Here is a 24727-nt window from a genome sequence, read left to right as displayed (position 1 = left end):
ATGCACACACATACACATATATACATTCACGTGTATGTGCGCATATACATATATACACGAATACATATATACACATATTTACATACACATACATGTATAGTTTTATTTTGCACAAGCCCTCAGAAATAAATGTAGGATATATTAAGACAGTCCTTGGTTGATGACAGGAATTAGAAATATTTTTTCTGAATTTGTGGTTCCTAGTTGGACTTTGAACCACAGTCCGAACAGATATGGTACAAATCTGTCTTGTCTTTTTTTTTTTTCTGAAGCAGGGTCTTGCTGTGTCACCCAGGCTGGAATGCAGTAGTGTAGTCACAGCTCATTGCAGCCTCGAACTCCTGAGTTCAAGGGATTCTTCTGCCTCTGCCTCCGCCTCTGCCTCCTGAGGAACAGGAGCATACCATACCCAGGCTGATCTCAAACTCCTGGACTGACGTATCTGTCTTTTCTTTAATGGGTTTGGGATTTGGTAAATTTTAATTTACTTTTATTTAAACTGTCAAGATGAGATGTCACAAAATTAAGGGCCTGGTTATTAAGGTGTTCAAACACCAAAATCCCAGTTTCCCAGCAATAACTAAACCAGCTTCCACAAGTAGACATCTTTAGTTAATATATACCTCGCTTTGAACAAAATTCAGATTTCAGAAGCAGAGGAGTTGGGGGTAATCCTTCACTTACAAAAAGACATGCGGCCAGGTGTGGTGGCTCACGCCTGTAATCCCAGCACTTTGAGAGGCCGAGGCATGTGGATCACCTGAGGTCAGGAGTTCGAGACCAGCCTGGCCAACATGGTGAAAGCCCATCTCTACTAAAAATACAAAAACTAGCTGGGCATGGTGCTGGGCGCCTGTAATCCCAGCTACTCTGGAGGCTGAGGCAGGAGAATCACTTGAACCCAGGAAGCGAAGGTTGCAGTGAGCCAAGAAGGTGCCATTGCACTCCAGCCTGGGCAACAAGAGCAAAACTCTGTCTCAAAATAAATAAATAAAGAGACATGCAATAGAAAAGCTTTAAAGAAGTAATTAACAATGTTTATGTTTAAATTTACAGCTTTCCAGGGGTTGTGTAAGTGGTGGCTCACCTGAACTTGCATCAGCTACTAAAAGCAAGTCCTATGTTGAACAGGACATTGATTGGGTGGTAAAAAGTCTAAATTTTGGAGTATGATAGGGTCAGTATTCCAGCTTTGCCCTGTGGGACATGGAGTAAATTACCTGGCCTCCCCAGATCTAATTGCTCTCTTAGAAAATGATGGTAACAACCCCAGAGAGGTTGCTGTGAGGATTAAATGGAAAAACTGTGAAATTCTTAGCACTGGTCTAATAATGAAATGCTCAGTAAATAGTGCTGCTATTCAGTTATTCTCTTCCCTACTCACCTTCTTTCTACAGAGATTTAAAGAATTCATCCATCTGTCCCATCAATTAATTCATTCACTCAATGACTTGTTAAATAATTTGTTATTTCAGCTGGGCACGGTGGCTCACACCTGTAATCCCAGCACTCTGGGAGGCCGAGGCAGGCGGATCACAGGGTCAGGAGATCAAGACCATCCTGGCCAACATGGTGAAACCCCGTCTCTACTAAAAACACAAAAATTAGCCGGGAGTGGCTGCGCGTACTCCAGCTACTCAGGAGGCTGAGGCAGGAGAATTGCTTGAACCCAGGAGGCAGAGGCTGCAGTGAGCTGAGATTGCGTCACTGCACTCCAGCCTGGGCGACAGAGCAAGACTCCGTCTCAAAAAATAAAAATAAAAATAAATTGTTATTTCATATAATTCATCATTCATTCAATCATTTATTTATTCACTTGTGCATTTATTCATACATTCAGTCATTCATTCAACAGATATTTGAGCTCTTAATATGTGCCAGGTTCCAGGCTAGCCCCAGGAATACAATGATGTCTACAGACTGAACTCTAGACTTTAGAGTGTGAGAGTTGAAACTCAAAAGGCTTCTCATTGGCCGGGTATGGTGGCTCACGCCTGTAATCCCAGCACTTTGGGAGGCGGAGGTAGGCGGATCACCTCTCAGGAGTTCAAGACCAGCCTGACCAATATGGTGAAACCCCGTGTCTACTAAAAATACAAACATGGCCGGGCGCGGTGGCTCACGCCTGTAATCCCAGCACTTTGGGAGGCCGAGGTGGGTGGATCACCTGAGGTCAGGAGTTTGAGACCAGCCTGACCAACATGGAGAAACACCGTCTCTACTAAAAATACAAAATTAGCCGGGCGTGGTGGCACATGCCTATAATCCCAGCTACTAGGGAGGCTGAAGTAGGAGAATCGCTTGAACCTGGGAGGCGGAGGTTGCGGTGAGCTGAGATCGTGCCCTTGCACTCCAGCCTGGGCAACAAGAGCAAAACTCCGTCTCAAAAAAAAAAAAAAAAAAATACAAACATTAGCTGAGTGTGGTGGCACACACCTGTATTCCCAGCTATTGGGAAGGCTGAGGAAGGAGAATTGCTTGAACCCAGGAGGCAGAGGTTGCAGTGAGCTGAGATCATGCCACTGCACTCTAGCCTGGGCAGCAGAGTGAGACTCCATCTCAAAAAAAAGAAAAGGCTTCTCATTCATTCTACAACACAACAAACACCTATTATATTCACTGTAAACAAAGGCCTTAAATCCAATTACTGCTAGTCTTACTTTTATGACATGTTCTCCTAGCTTCTTTTATTTTCTGTTTTTGAGACAGGGTCTTCTCTGTTGCCCAAGCTGGAATTCAGTGGTGCAATCACAGCTCACTGCAGCCTCAAAATACTGGGCTCAATCGATCCTCCCGCCTCAGCCTCCCAAGTAGCTGGGACTACAGGCATGTGCCACCATGCCCAATGAAATTTTTTCTTATTAGTAGAGATGGTGCCTCACTATTTTTCCCAGCCTGCTCTAGAACTCCTGGGCTCAAGTGATCCTCCCACTGCCTTGGCCCCTGAAGTGTTGAGATTACAGACATGAGCCACCATGCCCACCCTGATTTCTTTTTCTTTTGTTCTTTCTTTCTCCTTCCTTTTTCTCTCCCCCTCCTCCACCCTTCTCTTTTACCCTCTCTTGCCTGTACCCAGGACTGAGACCTTTACTCCCCCATCCAGAGTCCCTTGGTGACTACCAAGAGATGGATGACCACTCAGACTCTGGAGTCAGAGCAACCAGAATTGAGTCTCAGCTCCCCTACTTCCTAGTTACAGAACTTTGAACATGCCTGACCCTCAGTTTCCTCATCTGTGAAATGGGGCGAGTGATATCTACTTTACAGGGCCAATGAAATGATCTGATAAAACAGCCATAACACTACTTGGCCCTGAGGAAATAATACCAGGGAAATATGATTGTCAATTCAAATTACAATTAGTGGCTCCCACCTGTAATCCTAGCTACTTGGGAGGCTGAAGCAGGAGGATCACTTGAGGCCAGGGGTTCAAAGTCAACCTGGGCACCCTAGTAAGACCCTGTCTCAAAAAAAAAGAAAAGAAAAAAATGGCTTGGCACAGTGGCTCACTCTTGTAATCCCAGCTCTTTGGGAGTCCAAGTCAGGCAGATCACCTGAAGTCAGGAGTTCGAGAGCAACCTGGCCAACATGGTGAAACCTCATCTCTACTAAAAATCTAAAAATTAGCCGGGCATGGTGGCTCACACCTGTAGTCCCAGCTACTCAGGAGGCTGAGGCACAAGAATTGCTTGAACCCAGGAGGCGGAGGTTGCAGTGAGCTGACATCTTGCCACTGCACTCCAGCCTGGGCAACAGAGTGAGACTCGATCTCAAAAATAAAAAATAAAAATAGTTAGCTGAATGTGGTGGCATGCAACTATAGTCCCAGCTACTCAGGAGGCTGAAGCAGGAGGATCACTAGAGCCCAGGAGTTTGAGGCTTCAGTGAGCTGTGATTATGCCACTCCACTCCAGCCTGGGCAACAGAGCAAGATTCTATCTCTAAAACAAAAAACAAATTACAATTTGTTAAACATCTACTCTGTGTAGGCATTATACTCAGCTCTGTGGAAGACACACAAAGAGTGAACGCAGTCTTCCAGTCAGGACAGAAGAGTGCATAGCAAATTCTCTATGGTAAGAGCTCATAATGAGAGCTACCATGACTTGCTATTACTGAGGAAAGTAACAAGTATTTCTTGAGCCCCTCATTCCTGGGTACTGGCGTTTCTCAGAGATCTGTGCTAAGAGGGCTGTCAGGCTGATGCTGGCTTCTCTGGTTTCATTTGCAACTCCAATCTAACATTATTCATGGCTTTAAGTCATTTCACTTAGGGGTAAGTGTGAATATAGATTAGATATTAGAGTATACGAAGCAATTAATGTTAAATTTGTTAGGAGTGAGAACAGTATGATGGTTACATAGGAAAATGTTCTAAACTTTTAGATATACATTTCAGAATTTAGGAATAAAATGTCAGGGATTTGATTTTTTTAATCAGAAAAAAGAATATATATGGCACAATGTGATACTTTTTGGATCAGGAGTTCATTTTACTATTCATTCTGAGTGGTTCATTATACCATTTTTCATTTTGGGTGTGCTTAATAACTTTTACAATAAAAAGATGAAACATTTTATTTGAGGAGTGAAGTATCACTTTAAAGGAGCAAAGGGGAAGGACACTTACCTGCAAGCCAGGCTCCCACTTCAGGGAAAAGCAGGCAGCCCAGGTACCTGGGATGGGCAATGTCATTGGCAACCTGGATTGCCATCTGCTTGTTTGCAGGGTCTTTGATAGGTGCCTTTGGGGCAGTGGGCTTCACAGAGCAGCTGTCCTCAGGAAACGTACCTGGCGAGGCAAGAAGGCTTGTCAATAACTCAGCCCTTCTCCCACCCCAAGAAAACAGGCACAGGTACCCACTAGGGGAACAGTTGGCCCTGAAGCAGTTTCAAGGGCTTGTGGTCCTTCCCCTCCGAGTTTGTTGCATTTCTTCAGCCCTCTCTATTTCATCCATGAAGGGGAAACAAGACCACAAGGCCAAACTCAACGTCTCCCAATCACCCTGCTCTTCCTCTCAGGCCTAGTATCTTTGGTCTTGGTTAGTTTACTCCCAACTCCTTTCATCCCCCATTACCACACACTGGCAACCACCTTTATTAGTTTCCTTCCAGAGTTTCTTTTTTTGTTGTTTTGTTTGTTTGTTTGTTTTTGTTTGTTTTTTGTTTTTTTGAGGCAGGGTCTCACTCTGTCACCCAGCTAGAGTAAAGTGGCACGATCTCGGCTCACTGCAACCTCCGCCTCCCAGGTTCAAGCAATTCTCCTGCCTCAGCTTCCCGAATAGCTGGGACTACAGGCATGTGCCACCATGCCCAGCTAATTTTTGTATTTTTAGTAGAGACTGGGTTTCACCATGTTCACCAGACTGGTCTCAAACTCCTGACCTCAAGTGATCCACCCACCTCAGTCTTAAAGTGCTGGGATGACAGGCGTGACCCACTGCACCTGGCCCAGAGTTTCTTTTCATCAGTACAAACAGATACAAAAATACATTCTTCAAGGACAGTATGTTCTGAACAGGCATAAACCCAATTCAAAGTAAATTTTCAAAATACGTAAAATTACAAAATGTTCCAGGTAAGAGTGAAGTAAGTGTGGGAGTTGTTAGCATCTAGATAAGATCTAAAGCCAAAGGGGTAAGAAAAGAGGAGAAAAAGAGGAGAGAAAGAAAAAGGACAATTCTCTAAAGTCACCTAGAGGAAAATAGCGAAAAAAATTACCAAGAGGAAACTTTTTTTTTGAGATGGAGTTTCGCTCTTGTTGCCCAGGCTGGAGTGCAATGGCACGATCTCAACTGACCGCAACCTCCACCTCCGTCTGGTTCAAGCGATTCACCAGGAGGGAACATTTTAGTTCAATTATATTACCCACTACTGATGTGTCAATAGATCTATGGGAACTAACCCAGAAAGATAGCCAAATTAAAGTGGGATTTCAGAGTTAAATAAATCTTATGAATCCACTTTTGCAAAAATCTATCTATTATGTATGTATATATATATACACGTGTTTAGGGAGTAGAAAGAAGTGTCTGGGAGACTATAAATGGAGCAAACTAATGGAAAACCCTGGAGAAGAGGTTTGTGGAAAGAGGCGGGTTTTTTTTGAGACAGAGTTTCACTCTTGTTGCCTAGGCTGGAGTGCAATGGTGCAATCTCGGCTAACTGCAACCTCCGCCTCCCAGGTTCAAGCAATTCTCCTGCCTCAGCCTCCCGAGCAGCTGGGATTACAAGCATGCAGCACCATGCCCAGCTAATTTTGTATTTTTAGTAGAGACAGGGTTTCTCCATGTTGGTCAGGCTGGTCTCAAACTCCTGACCTCAGGTGATCTGCCTGCCTCAGCCTCCCAAAGTGCTGGATTACAGGCGTGAGCCACCGCACCTGGCCAGCTTTTTTACTTTGCACACTTCAGTTTTGTTTGCATTTTTGCCACAAGAATGCATTCTTTTTGTAAATAAATAAAGAAGATCTGAGGCTGGGTGCGGTGGCTCACACCTGTAATACCAGCACTTTGAGAAGCCGAGGCAGGCAGATCACTTGAGGTCAGAAGTTTGAGACCAGCCTGGCCAACATGGTGAAACCCCATCTCTACTAAAGACACAAAAATTAGCTGGGCCTAGTGGTTCATATCTGTCATCCCAGCTATTCGGGAGGCTGAAGCAGGAGAATTGCTTGAACCCAAGAGGCGGAGGTTGCAGTCAGCCGAGACCATACCACTGCACTCCAGCCTGGGCAACAGAGCAAGACCCTATCTCACAAAAAAAAAAAAAAAATAGAACATCTGTAAAAGGGGAGAAACTGCTTAAGGACACCTATATTGAAAATTTCTAAGCCTGTATAGAATGGCAATGAAAATCACTGGCTTTAGAGTTGAATAAACATGGGTTTAAATCCCAGCTCTACTGAGCCTTAATTTCCTCATCTGTAAAATAGTGATATAATAATATAGGTTCATTACAGGCCTGTGATAAGGATTAAATGAAAGAAATACAAGTCAGGCATTTAGTACAGTGGCTATCATACACAAAATGCTCAATTAATATTAGTCATATTTTAAAATAGTGATTAGATCAAACTAGCCAATCAGAGAGGTATGTACTTGGACCACATTACGTTGACACCTCTAGACCTACTGTCACTGAATTGCTTTTTCTGTGTCATGCTTTGGATCCCCACTGAGGGTTATTGGATGTGTCTGCTACATGGCTTCCCATATTCTATTATCCAGTTATGGTTATTCTTTCTTGCTCTGTCACCCAGGCTGGAGTGCAGTGGCATGATGTCAGCTCACTGCAAACTCCGCCTCCCAGGTTCAAGTTATTCTCCTGCCTCAGCCTCCCTAGTAACTGGGATTGCAGGCATGCACCACCACACCTGGCTAATTTTGTATTTTTAGTAGAGACAAGGTTTCACCATGTTGACCAGGCTGGTCTCAAACTCCTGACCTCAAGTGATCCACCTGCCTCGGCCTCCCAAACTGCTGGGATTACAGGTGTGAGCCACCGTGCCTGGCCTTTGTGTTATGGTTATTTGAATGCAGGTCTCCCCTACTAGATTTCTTTGAAGGCAGGAATCATACTCTTTGTCTTCGTATTCTTCAAGTTACTCAATGGTGATGTGAAGACTGCTACTCTTATCTACTGCCAGAATCCAATCCATAGACCCACCCTCCGTACCAAGGAGCTCAGAGGTGGGCGGCATGTACCTGGGAGTATGCAAGATGATTCTCAGAAGAACTTCCGTGTAGATACATATTTTCTTTCATTCTTTTCCATTTCTACATTTGTGTTTTACAAGGCACAGAATATAATAGTGCATACATATCATTTATAAAGAAATATACCTATGTTGGGAAGTTTAACCATTTTGCTCATGGAATGTTAACCTATAAAATTTGGAAAACAGTATCTTCTTTATGAGTTCTCTCAGACTCAGGGTCACAAAAAGCTATGTTTCTCCCCAGCAATTGGTTTATTGTTTGTTTGACATGGAGTCTTGCTCTGTCATCCAGCCTGGAGTGCAGTGGTGCAATCTCAGCTCACTGCAACTTCTGCCTCCTAGGCTCAATTGATGCTCCCACCTCAGCCTCCCTAGTAGCTGGGACTACAGGCACCCACCGCCATGCCTGGGTAATGTTTTGTATTTTTATTAGAGATGGGGTTTCACCATGTTGCCCAGGCTGGTCTCGAACTCATGAGCTCAAGCAATCCGCCCGCCTCAGCCTCCCAAAGTGCTGGTATTACAGGCATGAGCCACTGTGCCCAGCCTAGGTTTATTGTTTTTAATGAACTTATATCATTTAATACCTTTCCTTCTTGGCTTTGGCTTCCAGGAACCTCAGAGCCAAACCACAAACCAGATGTATGCATAGAATGCCTAACATTCACGTTCTGAGGGCTTTAGTAATGAGCGTAGCTTCTGGAACCACATTGCCTGGGTGAGCCACTTACTACTTGTGTGAACTTGGGCAAGTTGCTTAACCTCTTTGTGCCTCAGTTCCCTCATCTGTGAAATGGTGATTGTAACTGTAGTAACCTCATAGAATCATTATGAAGATTAAATAAGATGGTGCATGTAAAGCAACTAGAACAATGCAGTGAACATATAGTGAACACTCAAATGTTGTTATGTTGTTTTATTTTATTTATTTATTTATTTTTATTTATTTTTTTTTGAGACAGAGTCTCGCTCTGTCGCCCAGGCTGGAGTGCAATGGCGCGATCTTGGCTCACCGCAACCTCCACCTCCCGGGTTCAAGCGATTCTCCTACCTCAGCCTCCAGAGTAGCAGGAATTACAGGCATGCGCCACCATGCCTGGCTAATTTTTGTATTTTTAGTAGAGATGGGGTTTCACCATGTTGATCAGGCTGGTCTTGAACTCCTGACCTCAGGTGATCCGCCTGCCTCGGCCTCCCAAAGTGCTGGGATTACAGATGTGAGCCACCATGCCCACCCTGTTGTTTTAATGTTATTATTCACTCTTACTCAATGATTTCTTTACCCTTGCTTTTCTTTTTTCCTTTTTGAGACAGAGTCTCACTCTGTCCCAGGCTGGAGTACAATGGCATCATCTTGGCTCACTGCAGCCTTGATCTCCCGGGTTCAAGTGATCCTCCCACCTCTTTTTTTTGAGATGGAGTCTCGCTCTGTCGCCCAGGCTGGAATGCAATGGTGTAATCTCGGCTCACTGCAACCTCCGCCTTCTGGGTTCAAGCAGTTCTCCTGCCTCAGCCTCCTAAGTAACTGGGATTACAGGCACATGCCACCACACCCAGTTAATTTTTGTATTTTTAGTAGAGACGGGGTTTCACCATGTTGGTCAGGCTGGTCTCGAACTCCCGACCTCGGGTGACCCGCCCGCCTCGGCCTCCTAAAGTGCTGGGATTACAGGCATGAGCCACCGTGCCTGGCATATAAACATATTTTTTAATGTGCCAGTCACTGTGTTAGGCATTTGAAGAATACAAAGACAAAGAATGTGATTTCTGCCTTCAAAGAAATCTAGCTTGGGAGACATGCATCCAAATAACCATAACCCGAGAATAGAATATGGGAAGCCATGTAACAGACATGTCTGAATGCCATGAGGACACTGAGGAGCTGAGACCCAGGAAAGTTTCCTGAAGAAGGTGGCATGGGAGAGCAAAGATTTCAAGAGAAGGAAGCAATGGAAGATGCATGACAGTCTCTGCAGGACTAATGTGCCACTCACACTGCTGGGTCCAAGTGGGTGCTCAAGAAATACCTGTTTGTGAATATTTGATTCAAGCAATGTGAAAAGAGGTAAAAAGAGTTGATGGGACAATGCCCAAGGGCACTGGTTGTTAAAGGAAGTGAAGAAAAAAAAATAGATTAGGAGGCCAGGCATGGTGTCACGCCTGTAATCCCAGCACTTTGGGAGGCCGAGGTGGGCAGATCACCTGAGGTCGGGAGTTCGAGACCAGCCTGACCAACATGGAGAAACCCCATCTCTACTAAAAATACAAAAAAATTAGCCGGGCAAGGTGGCACATACCTGTAATCGCAGCTACTCAGGAGGCTGAGGCAGGAGAATCGCTTGAACCCGGGAGGCGGAAGTTGCAGTGAGCCGAGATCGCGCCACTTCCAGCCTGGGCAACAACAGCAAAACTCCATCTAAAAAAAAAAAAAAAAAAAAAAAAAAAAAAAAAAAAAAAAACAGATTAGGAGTCGATCCTCCGGAGGGGGAAAGGTAGACTTGTCCTGCCAGGCCAGAAAACACAGGTGTGAAAGCCAGGTAAGCAGCAGTTGCTTTGAGGGAGGAGGAAATGGAAGCTTTGGGATTGGGAGTGAGTAGGTTTGGGAGGGGTCCTCTGTGCAAATCTATCTACAATACAGAACAAAGGTCCAAAACCCCTAACATCTCCCCTTGGGGCTCAGAGATGGGACCTTCCTTTTTTTTCCCATGGTGTGGCTTCAACTTCAGGCCCTTGCAGAACTACATATGGGCACAGTCTTTTAAGGTGTCCTATCATCTCTAAGCAAAGTAATCCCAGATAACTTCAGCCACATGCTCCCTTCCTTTGGACGCATATGTAGGGTGAGCCTGAAAATGAGGGACCTAATCACAGTTGATTTCCCACCCCAAGTGTCCCTTAGAAGTGACAGAGTGTGGTGAACAAAGTACGGAATTTGGAGTTGAACAAAACTGGGCTTTTACTTCTAGCTTCTAACAAGATACTAACCTAGTTAAATTAATCTGTAAAATAAGGATGTCAATGTCTGCGTGAAAGGCATGTTGTGAAGATTTCACGTCTTACACAACGTAAAGTGTGCACATCTAGTATTCTGCAGGCACTAAAATTACCTCTAAGCTCCCTCCATTCCTGAAATGAATAAGCTAGAACTTATTGAGGACTTCTACTATATCAGGCACTGTGCAGACTTGTGTGTTTTCTTTTTTGTATATATATATATATATATATATATATATATATATATATATATATAAAATTTTTTTTTTTTGAGATGGAGTTTTGCTCTTGTTGCCCAGGCTGGAGTGCAATGGTGCAATCTTGGCTCACTGCAACCTCTGCCTCCTGGGTTCAAGCGATTCTCCTACCTCAACCTCCTGAGTAGCTGGAATTACAGGCACCTGCTACCATGCCTGGCTAATTTTTTCTGTTTTTAGTAGAGACAGAGTTTCACCATGTTGGCTGGGCTGGTCTCGAACTCCTGACCTCAGGTGATCCATCTGCCTCTGCCTCCCAAAGTGCTGGCATTACAGGCATGAGCCACTGTGCCCAGCCCAGACTTGTGGTTTGTTTGTTTGTTTATTTATTTATTTATTTTTGAGACGGAGTCTCACCGTGTCCCCCAGTCTGGAGTGCAGTGGCGCGATCTCGGCTCACTGCAAGCTCCGCCTCCCGGGTTCACGCCATTCTCCTGCCTCAGCCTCCCGAGTAGCTGGGACTACAGGTGCCCGCCACCATGCCCAGCTAATTTTTTGTATTTTTTTTAGTAGAGACGGGGTTTCACTGTGTTAGCCAGGATGGTCTCGATCTCCTGACCTCGTGATCCACCCACCTGGGCCTCTCAAAGTGCTGGGATTACAGGCGTGAGCCACCGTGCCCGGCCCAGACTTGTGTTTTATTCATGCTCCTGTTTTGCCAATGAGGAGGTGGTTCTTGCCCTTCGGAATGAGGCAACAACGTGGGCTCTTTCCCTTCTTTCTGCTCTTGCAGACTTGATCTGCTAGAGTCAAGTGGTCAACTTCTAGAACGCCTCAGGTGTAGTCAGAAAGTCTGATACTGCTGTTGGGCGCGGTGGCTCACGCCTGTAATCCCAGCACTTTGGGAGGCTGAGGCAGGCGGATCACCTGAGGTCAGGAGTTCAAGACCAGCCTGACCAGCATGGAGAAACCCCGTCTCTACTAAAAATACAAAATTAGCCGGGCGTGGTGGCACATGCCTGTAATCCCAGCTACTAGGGAGGCTGAGGCAGGAGAATCACTTGAACCTGGGAGGCAGAGGTTGCAGTGAGCCAAGATCGCACCATTGCACTCCAGCCTGGGCAACAAGAGCGAAACTCTGTCTCAAAAAAAAAAAAAAAAAGTTTGATACTGCTAAGGGCTATACTTCAACTAACTGAGTGCTTACATAAGTCTAGTAGTAATTCAAGGCCACTCTGGGTCCTTTACTTTTTTTCCCCAGAAAGAGCAGGGCAAGTAGTATCTGTTTAGTTTTCATGTAGAACAAACAGAGTATCACCTCACTTTCCTTTCCAAATCAACCTTTCCTTCCTTCCATTTCTTTAGAAAAGTGTTTCCCAACTTGGCTGCCCATGGGAAACACCTGGGGAGATTTAAAAAATGCTTTCCAGGCCCGGCACAGTGGCTCACACCTGTAATCCTAGCACTCTGGGAGGCCGAGGCAGGCAGATCACTTGAGGTTAGGAGCTCAAGACTAGTTTGGCCAACATAGCGAAACCCCGTCTCTACTAAAAAATACAAAAAAACTAGCCGGGCATGGTGACACGTGCCTGTAATCCCAGCTACTCAGGAGACTGAGATAGAAGAATTGCTTGAACCGGGAGGCAGAGGTTGCAGTGAGCTGAGATAGTGCCACCGCACTCCAGCCTGGGTGATACAGCAAGACTCTGTTTCAAAAAAAAAAAAAAGCCCAGGCCCGGTGGCTCATGCCTATAATCCCAGCACTTTGGGAGGCCAAGGTGGGCAGATCACTTAAAGTCAGGAGTTCGAGACCAGCTTGGCCAACATGGTGAAACTGTCTCTATTAAAAATACAAAAATTAGCTGGGCATGGTGGCACATACCTGTAGTCCCAGCTACTCAGGAGGCTGAGGCAGGAGAATCGCTTGAACCCAGGAGGCAGAGGTGGCAGTGAGCCGAGATCACGCCACTGCACTCCAGCCTGGGCAACAGAGTGAGACTCCGTCTCAAAAAAAAAAAAAATGCCTCCACAGGCCAGGCACTATGGCTCACACCTGGAATCCCAGCACTTGGTAGACCCAAGGTGGGTCAAGGTGGGTCAATTCTTGAGCCCAGGAGTTCAAGACCAGCCAGGGCAACATTGCAAAACCTCATCTCTACAAAAACAAACAAACAAACAAACAAAACCACTAGCTATTCGTGGTGGCACGCGCCTGTAGTCCCAGCTACTCAGGAAGCTGAGATGGGAGGATCACTGGAGCCCTGGAAGATGCCACTGCAGGCCAGCCTGGGTGACAAGAGTGAGACCCTGTTTCTTTTTTTTTTTTTTGAGATGGAGTTTTGCTCTTGTCGCCCAGGCTGGAGTGCAGTGGCATGATCTTGGCTCACTGCAACCTTCGCCTCCTGGATTCAAGAGATTCTCCTGCCTCAGCCTCCTGAGTAGCTGGGATTACAGGCATGCGCCACCATGCCCAGCTAATTTTGTATTTTTTTTTTAGTAGAGACAGAGTTTCTCCATGTTGATCAGGCTGGTCTGGAACTCCCAACCTCAGGTGATCCGCCCTCCTCGGCCTCCCAAAGTGCTGGGATTACAGGCATGAGCCACCGTGCCCAGCCCCAATTTTTGTATTTTTAATAGAGACAGGGTTTCACTATATAGCCAGTCTGGTCTCAAACCCCTGACCTCAGGTGATCCGCCCACTTCAGCCTCCCAAAGTGCTGGGATTACAGGCGTGAGCCACTGCACCCAGCCCCAATTTTTGTATTTTTAGTAGAGACAAGGTTTCACCATGTTGGCCAGGCTGGTCTCGAACCCCTGACCTCAGGTGATCCACCCATCTCAGCCTCCTGAAGTGCTGGGATTACAAGCATGAGCCAGGGCACCTGGCCAATAACTTACTCTTTTTAACCCTGCAGTATGTCATGGATCTCTTTCCTTGTCAGTATAAAATTACCTCGTTTTTTAACAGCTGTAGAATGTTTTGTTGTAGGGAGGTATTATAATTTATTTAAGCAATCCCTTGCAACTGAACATTGACTTTTTCCTGTTTTTCACTATCAGAAACAGTGTTGCAGTAAACAAATGTGTGTATGTTTTGCAAAAGTTCCTTCCTGTAAGACTCACCAAGTAGAATTGCTTGGTCAAAAAAACAATCTGTAGACACATATTTATTTATATATTTTTATTTTGGGGTAATTGAAGGCAGCACTTTGTGATATCATTCATTGGGTACATACTTGGGAGTATTGTGGCTGAAATGGCTTCTGAGCCCCTCAACGGACTACAGAGATCCACTGGGCTCTCCAGACAGAGGGCTGGCTGGACTGACAGAAACCATGGCCACCTCTGACAGCTCTATTGTGGCTTCTCTGAGGCAGGAGGTGGCCAGGGCACAGGGTCTTCCGTCCTCACCCTGCAGGGTACCTTTTGATATATTGGCTCATAACCCAGGAAGTTGGAGGTACTTCAGGAAGCTCTCAGAAGAGGTGGAACATACCAATTAGAATCAACCAGCACTAGCCAGGTGTGGTGGCTCACGCCTTTCCTTCGCCCCGATCTCCTCCAGGACAAGATCACCCACAAGGGCCAGGCGCAGTGGCTCATGCCTGTAATCCCAGCACTTTGGGAGGCTGAGGTGGGTGGATCATCTGACCTCAGGGGTTCGCGACCAGCCCGGCCAACATTGTGAAACCCTGTCTCTACTAAAAAGACAAAAATTAGCCAGGCGTGGTGGTGGGCACCTGTAGTCCCAGCTACTTGGGAGGCTGAGGCAAGAGAATTGCTCGAACCTGGGAGGCACAGGTTGCAGTGAGCTGAGATTGCACCATTCACTGCACTCCTGCCTGGGCAACGAAGTGAGACTCCATCTCAAATAATAATAATAATAATAATAAAATAAAATCAACCAGTGCTTATGTTGTCTGAAATTAGGCCCAGTCCACAAGGGCAAGGCTTGCAAGAGAGGAAGGAGGAATCGCGGAGCAGCAAACCAAAGCCAGGCCTGTGTCTTGAGAGGGCTTCTCACCAAGGGAAGGTATAACTGCCCCTTTTCCTGGCCTGTCCTGCTCTACGGGAATTTGAAACAAAATGTGGACTTTAGGAGGCTGCCTGGGAGGAAGGGGAGCCTGGGTGGGGCCATCCCTGCGGATCAGGAAAGGGCAGGATCATAGGATGGCTCCTGTGATTTGGGAGACAGTCGGTAAACAGGTAAACAGTGCAGACTGCGGAACTGTGCAAGAGAGTTTGAGGGAAGAGTTACCCAGTTGGTCCTCGGATTCCTACTCAAGGTGGCAGGTGGGGAAGACCTGGATTCACATCCTGTCACTACTGTGGACCAGCGGACCGAGGAGGCTTGGGGTGAGCCTCTGGATCCACATATATTTCACCTTGGGCTGTGGTGAGGATTAAATGAGGAAACAGATGCGACGCACCTACCATTGTTCCAAGCACACAATAGGTGCTCAATAAATAGTGTATTTATCAGTGGATAAAACCACTAGGATACCTAATCCAAGGAGATAGGGAACCAACCACCTAGGAAAGAGGATCCCAAATCCTACAGGACAGCCACCTGTGGGGCCTGAAATCAGGAGCACAAAGTGACAGGCAAGGAGCTTCCCATTGCTGCTGCTTGGTGGGTGGGATGGATTGTCCTAGACAAAGGATCTACACCTTCAGCCCTGGATTCTAGGATGTGAACCACACACCCATATCCCGCTGCCCTATCTGTGTCACAGCAACTCCCCTCAACCTCCAGGGAACGAGGAGGAGCGTCCTGGGGTCCAGTGGGCCTGAGCCGTGGCCATGAGTGGGGAGAGAGGATCATGGGGTGGGAAGGCTGTAAAAGATGTAAATGGTGTGGTGTGGAGCTCGGCTCCAGCTGTCTAGCACTCCCTGGAGCTGGCAGGAGTCCAGGGAAGGGGCCCCAGACTCAGGGCGCCTTTTGTTCCAGGGCTTGGCTATGTAAAAGGTGGGGGAAGGGGCAAGAATTCATGGAACTTGTCCATTCATTGGAGCCCCCGCTGCCAGCAGGTGCGAGAAGGAGGGAGGGAATGAGGGACTTGGGGCTGGAAGGTTTAGATATGAGAATGGCAGCTCAGCATGCAGTGGATGACAAACAGATTCCTCAGCTTCCATCCTCCAGGGCTGTGAACATTCAAGCCAGCCAGACCCCAGCCTGCTTAGAATGTGCCACGAACTGTTTCCTCTAGCCCCCAATTGGCGTTCCAAACCCCCATCTCTCCAGTCCCCAAATTCCCATTTTCTATGTTCTGCCAAAACACCCTGCTTCCCCAGGACCACTTCCATTGCTGTCTGATTTTCTGAGGTTTTGTTTGTTTCTTTCTTTCTTTTCTGTTCCTCTTTGGCTGCTTGGGGCTCACAGCTTCCAGGGCCTTCTCCAAAGCACCATATTCAAGCACTGGATGCTGCTTGGACATATCAATTGAGGTCCCAGAGAAATCAGTATGGGGAGAAGAAGGACTTGGAATCACACAAACATGGGTCCGAACCCTGCTTGCCCTTCCCAGCTGGGTAAACTCCAGGCAAGTTACTAACCTTTCAGAGCCGCATTCTTTAGGTAAAATGAGGATAATGTTTGTTCCTACTTCTCAGAGTTTTTGTAAACATTAAATTCTGAGTTGATGTCTAGAAAGCTCTTTGCACAATGCCTGGCCCAGAACAAGTGCTCAATGGATAATAAGCATAGGAAAACGAGGCAGAAAGCCCCTGCAGTGTTTTCATTTGTATTTCCTTGTTGCCAGAGAGATTAATCTTTTAAATGTATGTTTATTATGTATTAATATTTCTTTCCTCTTTTTTTCTTTTTTTATTTTGAAACAGGGTCTCACTCTGTTGCCCAGGCTGGAGTACAGTGGTGCAATCATGGGTCACTGCAGCTTCCAACTCCTGGGATCAAGCAATCTTCCTGCCTCAGCCTCCCGAGTAGCTGGGACTCCTGAGTAGACAGGGGTCCCACTATGTTGCCCAGGCTGTTCTCGAAATTTTGGGCTCAAGAGATCCTCCTGCCTTGGCCTCCCAAAGTGCTGGGGTAACAGGCGTGAGCCACCTTGCCCAGCCTATTTATAGTTCTTATTTCTTACATAAATTACCTGTGTTCATCTCTTATCCATTTTACTTCTAGTTTTTTTGTTTGTTTGTTTTTTGTTTTTTGACCTTTGGTTTGATAATTGGTGGAACAGCTTTATACATTTTGTAATTCTTTGTCATACAATTTGCAATTTTTTTCTCTTGGTTTCTCACTTGCTTTTGATTTTTTTGGCGTCTTTCAACATACAAAGTCTCTTTTTCCTTCTATATACCATATTCCCAAATCTGCGTTAGTTTCTCATTTTCCACAACATCCTCCCACAGATGGCCCACAGGAGCTGTCCCTGTATAGGCTGATTTTCTCAGCATTTTGGGGTCTGCACTGACCCTTGCCTTGACCAGTGCACTCCCCAGGACTTTATTAGGCCCTCCATTGTTCCCAAGATGCGAAAAACCTGCAGCCAGGGCTGTTTGACTGAATCCTGTAGTATTTTAGTTTTATCCTGAAATGCACACACTCCCCCCTACTGGTTTCTGGAAGGATCACACTCTTTTTTTTTTTCCTACTAGTTTGCTCATTTGGGGAAACTCTAAAATCTGATTGAGAAATCAGTGTCTGAATGAGAATGTATTTATTTATTTATTTATTGTATTTATTATTAGTTTTTTGAGATGGGGTCTCACTCTGTCTCCCAGGCTGGAGTGCAGTGGGGAGATCTCAACTCACTGCAACCTCCACCTCCTGGGCTCAAGCCATCCTCCCGCCTCAGCCTCCTGAGTAGCTGGGGCCATAGCATGCGCCACCACGCTCGGCTAATTTTTGTATTTTTGGTAGAGACGGGGTCTCGGCATGTTACGCAGGCTGGCCTCAAACTACCGGGCTCAAGTGAGCATCCTGCCTCGGCCTCCCAAAGTGCTGGGATTACAGGTGTGAGCCACCACACCCGGCCTGAATGAGAATTTAAATGTCCCCCATTAACCCTCTCTTTGGGGCCCAGGACTGCCTCAGGCTGTCCATATCTCACCATCTCAGCCAGCTGCCAGACAGACTGGCCATAAGATGTATTTCTGAGAAGTATGTGTAAATCTTACTTGATGAATTCCATTTTAATGCTGTAAGAGAAATTAAAATTAAAATAAATCCTTCTTTTTTTTTTTTTTTTTTTTTGAGTCAGAGTCTCACTCTGTCACCCAGGCTGGAGTGCAGTGGTGCCATCTCAGCTCACTGCAACCTCTGCCTCCCGGGTTCAAGCGATTCTCCTGCCTCAGCCTCCCGAGTAGCTGGGACTACAGGCGCCCGCCACCACGCTCAGCTAACTTTTTGTATTTTTAGTAGAGATGGGGTTTCACCATATTGCCCAGGCTGGTCTCGAACTCCTGACCTCATGATCCGCCTGCCTCGGCCTCTCAAAGTGCTGGGATTACAGGCGTGAGTCACCATGCCCGGCCTCTTATAGCTTATTTACTGGGCACTTACCATGTGCCATTCACGGCAGTTAAGCACTTTACATGAAGCTCTCAATCCTCAGGACCATAAGGAAAGATCAAATTTCTCCATTTTACAGATAAGTAGACTGAAGCTCTAGGAAGTTATGCAGCTTGGCTGAGGTCACCCAGCTGGAAGGTTGCCAGATTCAGCAAACAGACATATAGGAAGCCCAGTTAAATTTGCATTTCATATAAATAATGAATAATTTTTTAGTATTGCATGTCCCAAATATTGCATGCCATATTTTATCTGGCAACCCTTCCCAGATGATAAGTAGTAGAATGTGGCCTAGAATCCAGGTCTCCTGATTCCCTGACCTTCCAGTGGGAGGACTAGGGAGTATTGCATGGAATTCTTTGGAAAGAAACCCCTGTACTAACTCTTGGACTCCACCTCAGACATACTGAATAGAATCTCTGGGAGTCAAGCCTAGGAATCTGCACTGGTTTTTTTTGTTTGTTTGTTGGTTTGGTTTTTTTTTTTTAGATGGAATTTCACTCTGTCGCCCAGCCTGGAGTGCAGTGGGGCGACCTTGGCTCACTGCAGCCTGCACTTCCCGGGTTCAAATGATTCTCCTGCCTCAGCCTCCTGAGTAGCTGGGATTACAGGCGCCCACCACCACGCCCAGCTGATTTTTGTAATTTTAGTAGAGATGGGGTTTCACCATGTTGGCCAGGCTGGTCTCAAACTCCTGACCTCAGGCGATCTGCCCGCCTCGGCCTCCCAAAGTGCTGGGATTACAGGCATGAGCCACCGCCCCCAGCCAGAACCTGCACTTTTTAACAAGTATCCTCACCTTCAAACCTCTACTCCCCAGAGATTTTTTTTGAACTTTGAATTTTGAGAGCACTTTTGTCTCTATGCAGCTTGTAGGTGGAGAAGCCCATATTCAGCTGTCCTGTGGCTTCCAATATTCCCAGTATGCTTTTTTTTTGAGATGGAGTCTCACTTTGTCACCCAAGCTGGAGTGCAGTGGCATGATCTCTGCTCACTTCAACCTCCACCTCCTGGGTTCAAGTGATTCTCCTGCCTCAGCCTCCCGAGTAGTTAGGATTACAGGTGCATGTCACCATGCCTGGCTAATTTTTGTATTTTTGTAGAGACAGGGTTTCACCATTTTGGCCAGGCTGGTCTCAAACTCCTGACCTCAGGTGATCTGCCCACCTTGGCCTCTCAAGGTGCTGGGATTACAGGCGTGAGCCACCGTGCCCGGTCCCTAGTATGCTTTTTAAGTTCATTCACTCATCCATCCATAAAACTCCTGACAGATATTTATTGTTTGAAGGCTTGTCCTGCCAGCTAGGGATAGAAAGGAGAATTGGAGGCAACCGGAGACTTTGAGGAGCTTCTGTTCCACTGCAGGACATTGACAAGAAAACAGACACAATAGGAATACAGGGGGTGTTGGGTTGGACAGTTCCATAGGGGCTATGACAGGATTTGCTTCAGAAGCAGAGGGACAGGGTGGGAGCAGTCAGTTGCAAATTTCAGGGGATATGCTTCAGTGGAGTCTTGAAAGGCCAATAATTGTGTTTTCCTACCAAGGGGAGAACAAACGATAATAGATATAAATTTTAGACAGTGGTTACAATTTGCAATAAGAAATGAATTTAAATAGGCCAGGTGCAGTGGCTCATGCCTGTAATCCCAACATTTTGGGAGGCTGAGGAGGGACAATCACTCGAGCCCAGGAGTTCAAGATCTGTCTGGGCAACACAGTGAGACCCCATCTCTATAAAAAATATAAAAATTAGCTGGACCTGATGGTGCACTCCTGTGGTCCCAGCTACTCAAGAGGCTGAGGTGAGAGGATTGCTTGAGCTCCAGGAGGCAAGAGGTTACAGTGAGCCATGACTGTGCCACTATACTCCAGCATGGGCAACAGAGTGAGACCCTGTCTCAAAAAAAAAAAAATATGGGGAGCCGGGCACGGTGGCTCACGCCTGTAATCCCAGCACTTTGGGAGGCCAAGGCAGGTGGATCATGAGGTCAAGAGATCGAGACCATCCTGGCCAACATGGTGAAACCCCGTCTCTACTAAAAAACAGAATACAAAAAATTAGCTGGGTGTGGTGGCACACACCTGTAGTCTCAGCTACTCAGGAGGCTGAGGCAGGAAAATCGCTCAAACCCGGGAGGTGGAGGTTGCAGTGAGCCAAGATCGCACCACTGCACTGCAGCCTGTGGGACAAGAGCAAGACTCTGTCTCAAAATAAATAAATAAATAATAAAATAAAAATACATTTTAAAAATGCAAATGAAAAGCTGGGCACGGTGGCTCACGCCTGTAATCCCAACATTTTGGGAGGCTGAGGCAAGTGAATCACCTGAGGTCAGGAGTTCGAGACCAGCCTGGCCAACATGGGGAAACCCCGCCTCTACTAAAAATACAAAAATTAGCGGGCATGGTGGCGCATGCCTGTAATCCCAGCTACTTAGGAGGTAAGGCAGGAGAATCGCTTGAACCCAGGAGGTGGAGGTTGCAGTGAGCCGAGACCACACCACTGCACTCCAGCCTGGGCAACAGAGCAAGACTCTGTCTCAAAAAAAAAAAAAAAAAAGCAAATGAAAGAGAGCAAGAATGTGGGCTCTGGAGCCAGACATCCCGGTTACTTCCAAGTTCCCCCACTTACTAGCCCTATGACCACGTCCATGTACCCCACCCCATCCTTTCCATGCCTCAGTTTTGCGTTCTGTGAAATCGGGATGATCATATTCTCTTCCTCATTGGTTGGGTGTGCAGGTTAAAGGAAATAATCATACAAAATGCCTCATGCAGCTCCTACTTAGTAAGTATTCAATAGAGGTTAACATCAACAATTTTCCTCTCTTTTCTACACCTTCCCTGCAGCCTACAAATGTGTTGTAACAGCTTTCCATCCTTGATCCTGGATCCTCCTCTTATTACTGACACATTACTTGTCCCCATTTGTGGCACAACTCTTTGAAAGAATTGTGTGTAATTCCCATTTCTATTTTCTCACCTTCCTGTTTCTCCTGAACCCACTCCATGGAACCTGCTCTTGTCAAGGCCACTGATAAACTTTATATGCATTTCCAGTGGGCAATTCTCAATCCTTATCCACAGCCTTTCAGGAACATTTGACACAGTTGATCCACCCTTGCTGCTGCTGCTGCTGCTGCTTTTTTTTTTTTTTTTTTTTTTTTAAAGAGATGGGATCTGGCCAGGCAATGGCTCACGCTTGTAATCCCAGCACTTTGGGAGGCCAAGGCAGGTGGATCATGAGGTCAGGAGGTCCAGACCTGCCTGACCAAGATGGTGAAACCCCCATCTATACTAAAAATACAAAAATTAGGCAGGTTCAGTGGCGGGCACCTGTAATTCCAGCTACTTGGGAGGTTGAGGCAGGAGAATCGCTTGAACCCGGGAGGTAGAGGTTGCAGTGAGCCGAGATCACGCCACTGCACTCTAGCCTGGGTGACAGAGCAAGACTCCGTCTCAAAAAAAAAAAAAAAAAAAAAAAAAAAAAAAAAAAAAAAAAGAGGCCGGGCGCAGTGGCTCAAGTCTGTAATTCCAGCACTTTGGGAGGCCAAGGCGGGCGGATCACAAGGTCAGGAGATCGAGACCATCCTGGCTAACATGGTAAAACCCCGTCTCTACTAAAAATACAAAAATTTAGCCGGCGTGGTGGCGGCGGGCGCCTGTAGTCCCAGCTTCTTGGGAGGCTGAGGCAGGAGAATGGCGTGAACCCGGGAGGCAGAGGTTGTAGTGAGCCAAGATTGTGCCACTGCACTCCAGCCTGGGCGACAGAGCGAGACTCCGTCTCAAAAAAAAAAAAAAAAAAAAAAAAAAAAAGGGATGGGATCTTGCTCTGTCACCCAGGCTGGAGTACAGTGGCATAATCATAGCTCACTGCAGCCTCGAAGACTGAGGCTTAAGCAATCCTCGCACTTCAGCTTCCTGTAGTGGGAGCAGCTAGGAGTATAGGAGCATGCCACTATGCCCAGCTAATTTTTTTATTTTTATTTTTTTGTAAAGAGGGAGGTCTCACTATGTTGCCTGAGCTGGTCTCAAGCAATCCTCCCGCCTCCACCTCCCAAAGTGCTGGGATTACAGGCATGAGCCACCGTGCCCAGCCAGGGCTTGCTTCTTGAAGCACTCATATTCTTTGGCTTTCAGGACAACACATTTGTCCAGTTCTCCTACCTCCCTGGCTGCTCCTTCTCCATCTCCTTTGCTGGCTCTTTACTACTAGATGTTGGACTCCCAAAAGGCACAGTCCTCTGACCTCTTTTCTTCTCAATCTACAGTCAACCCTTAGGTGATCTCTTGCAATCTACTCATTTAAAACCCCACCTTTCTTCTGATGATTTCCACATTTATGGCTCCAGCTCAGACATCTTCCCTAACTTCCAGACTCAAACAGCCAATTGCTTATGTAACATCACCACTGGGTGTCCAACAGGCATCTCAAATTTAACCTGTCCATAAACAAACTCTTGATTTACCACCTGTTCCTCACACATAATCTGTTCTTTCCCCATAACTCCCAACCCCAGTAAATGGTACCATCATTCACTCAGTTGCTCAGTCCAAAGCCTTAAAGTTGCACTTGAAGCGGGGTCTTTGATAGCTCAGTTGGTAGAGCAGAGGGCCATTTGGATGAGCTGCAGAACCACACTTGATTCCTTTTTCTCTCATTCACCACATCCAAACCCAAATCTGATTGTCTCTATTGTCAAAATACTATAAAAATACATCCCGAGGGGGCCAGGCGCGGGCCGGGCTCATGCCTGTAATCCCAGCACTTTGGGAGGCCAAGGAGGGTGGATCATTTGGGGTCAGGAGCTCAATACCAGCCTGGCCAACATAGTGAAACCCCATCTCTACTGAAAATACAAAAATTAGCCAGGCAGTAGTGGCACATGCCTGTAATCCCAGCTACTCTGGAGGCCAAGGCAGGAGAATCGCTTGAGCCTGGGAGGCGGAGGTTTCAGTGTGGTGAGCCAAGGTCGAGCCACTGCACTCCAGTCTGGGTGACAGAGTGAGACCCCATCTCAAAACAAACAAACAACAAAAAAAAATCCCGAGACCAGGCACAGTGGCTCATGCCTGTAATCCCAGCACTTTGGGAGGCCGAGGCAGGTCGATCACTTGAGGTCAGGAGTTCAAGACCAGCCTGACCAACACGGTGAAACCCGGTCTCTACTAAAAATATACAAATTAACTGGGCATGGTGGCACATACTTGTAGTCCCCAGCTACTTGAGAGGCTGAGGCACAAGAATTGCTTGAACCTGGGAGGTGGAAGTTGCAGTGAGCCAAGATTGGGCCATTGCACTCCACCCTGAGCAACAGAGCAAGACTCCATTTAAAAAAAAAAAAAAAAAAAAAGGCCGGACACGGTGGCTCACGCCTGTAATCCCAGCACTTTGGGAGGCCAAGGCGGGCGGATCACCTGAGGTCAGGAGTCCGAGACCAGCCTGGCCAGCATGGTGAAACGCCTTCTCTACTAAAAATACAAAAATTAGCCGGGGCCTTGCGTGGTGGCTCACACCTGTAATCCCAGCGCTTTGGGAGGCCGAGGCAGGCGGATCACCTGAGGTTGGGAGTTCAAGAACAGCCTGACCAACATGGAGAAACCCCCACCTCCACTAAAAATACAAAAATAGCCGGGCGTGGTGGCGCATGCTTGTAATCTCAGCTACTCGGGAGGCTGAGGCAGGAGAATCACTTGAATCCAGGAGGCGGAGGTTGCGGTGAGCCGAGATCACGCCATTGCGCTCCAGCCTGGGCAACAAAGAGCGAAACTCTGTCTCCGAAAAAAAAAAAAAATTAGCCAGGCGTGGTGGCACATGCCTGTAATCCCAGCTATTCAGGAGGCTGAGGCAGGAGAATCCCTTGAACCTGGGAGGTGGAGATGGCAGTGAGCCGAGACTAAGGTCTCTCAACCTTAGTACTATTGTCTTTTTTTAAATTTTATTTTTGAGACAGGTTCTTACCCTGCTGCCCAGGCTGGAGTGCAGTGGCACAATCATAGCTCACTGCAGCCTTGAACTCCTGGGCTCAAGCAATCCTCTTGCCTCAGCCTCCGTAATAGCCTGGACTACAGTTGCTTGCTACCATGCTCAACTAATTTAAAAAAAGAGATGAGGTCTTGCTTTGTAGCCCAGGCTGGTATAAAGCTCCTGGCTTCAAGCAATACTCCCATGTTGGCCTCCAAAAGCGCTGGGATTACAGGCATGAATCACTGTGCCCAGCCACCATTGAGATTTTGTTTTTTTTGTTTTTTTGTTTTTCTTTGGAGACAGAGTCTCA

The 24727-nt window shown here is 46.7% G+C and overlaps 1 protein-coding gene across 1 annotated transcript in view, besides 3 other annotated features; it reads right to left on the bottom strand.

Moving 5' to 3' along the window:
• The window catches only part of VRTN (vertebrae development associated), a 57016-nt gene that overhangs the window by 17494 nt on the left and 14795 nt on the right, over positions 1-24727 (bottom strand). Inside the window, exon 2 of the mRNA XM_011536911.3 lies at positions 4631-4792. The gene's annotated coding sequence lies outside the window, so the exon portion shown is untranslated. The remainder of the gene's footprint in view (positions 1-4630; positions 4793-24727) is intronic.
• Positions 12448-13067: an enhancer, noted in NCBI's record as "H3K27ac hESC enhancer chr14:74796151-74796770 (GRCh37/hg19 assembly coordinates)". NCBI's record gives its function as "activates a minimal SCP1, AML or CMV promoter by ChIP-STARR-seq in primed H9 embryonic stem cells {active_cell/tissue: H9 hESC(primed)}" and the evidence as "EXISTENCE:reporter gene assay evidence [ECO:0000049][PMID:30033119]".
• Positions 14308-14929: an enhancer, noted in NCBI's record as "NANOG-H3K27ac-H3K4me1 hESC enhancer chr14:74794289-74794910 (GRCh37/hg19 assembly coordinates)". NCBI's record gives its function as "activates a minimal SCP1, AML or CMV promoter by ChIP-STARR-seq in primed H9 embryonic stem cells {active_cell/tissue: H9 hESC(primed)}" and the evidence as "EXISTENCE:reporter gene assay evidence [ECO:0000049][PMID:30033119]".
• Positions 16170-16789: an enhancer, noted in NCBI's record as "OCT4-NANOG-H3K27ac-H3K4me1 hESC enhancer chr14:74792429-74793048 (GRCh37/hg19 assembly coordinates)". NCBI's record gives its function as "activates a minimal SCP1, AML or CMV promoter by ChIP-STARR-seq in naive H9 embryonic stem cells {active_cell/tissue: H9 hESC(naive)}" and the evidence as "EXISTENCE:reporter gene assay evidence [ECO:0000049][PMID:30033119]".

This window comes from Homo sapiens, chromosome 14, assembly GCF_000001405.40.
Source record: "Homo sapiens chromosome 14, GRCh38.p14 Primary Assembly".
NCBI lineage: Eukaryota > Metazoa > Chordata > Mammalia > Primates > Hominidae > Homo > Homo sapiens.
Note: the sequence above shows the minus strand (reverse complement) of the source record. Positions and strands in the feature narration are given on the sequence as shown.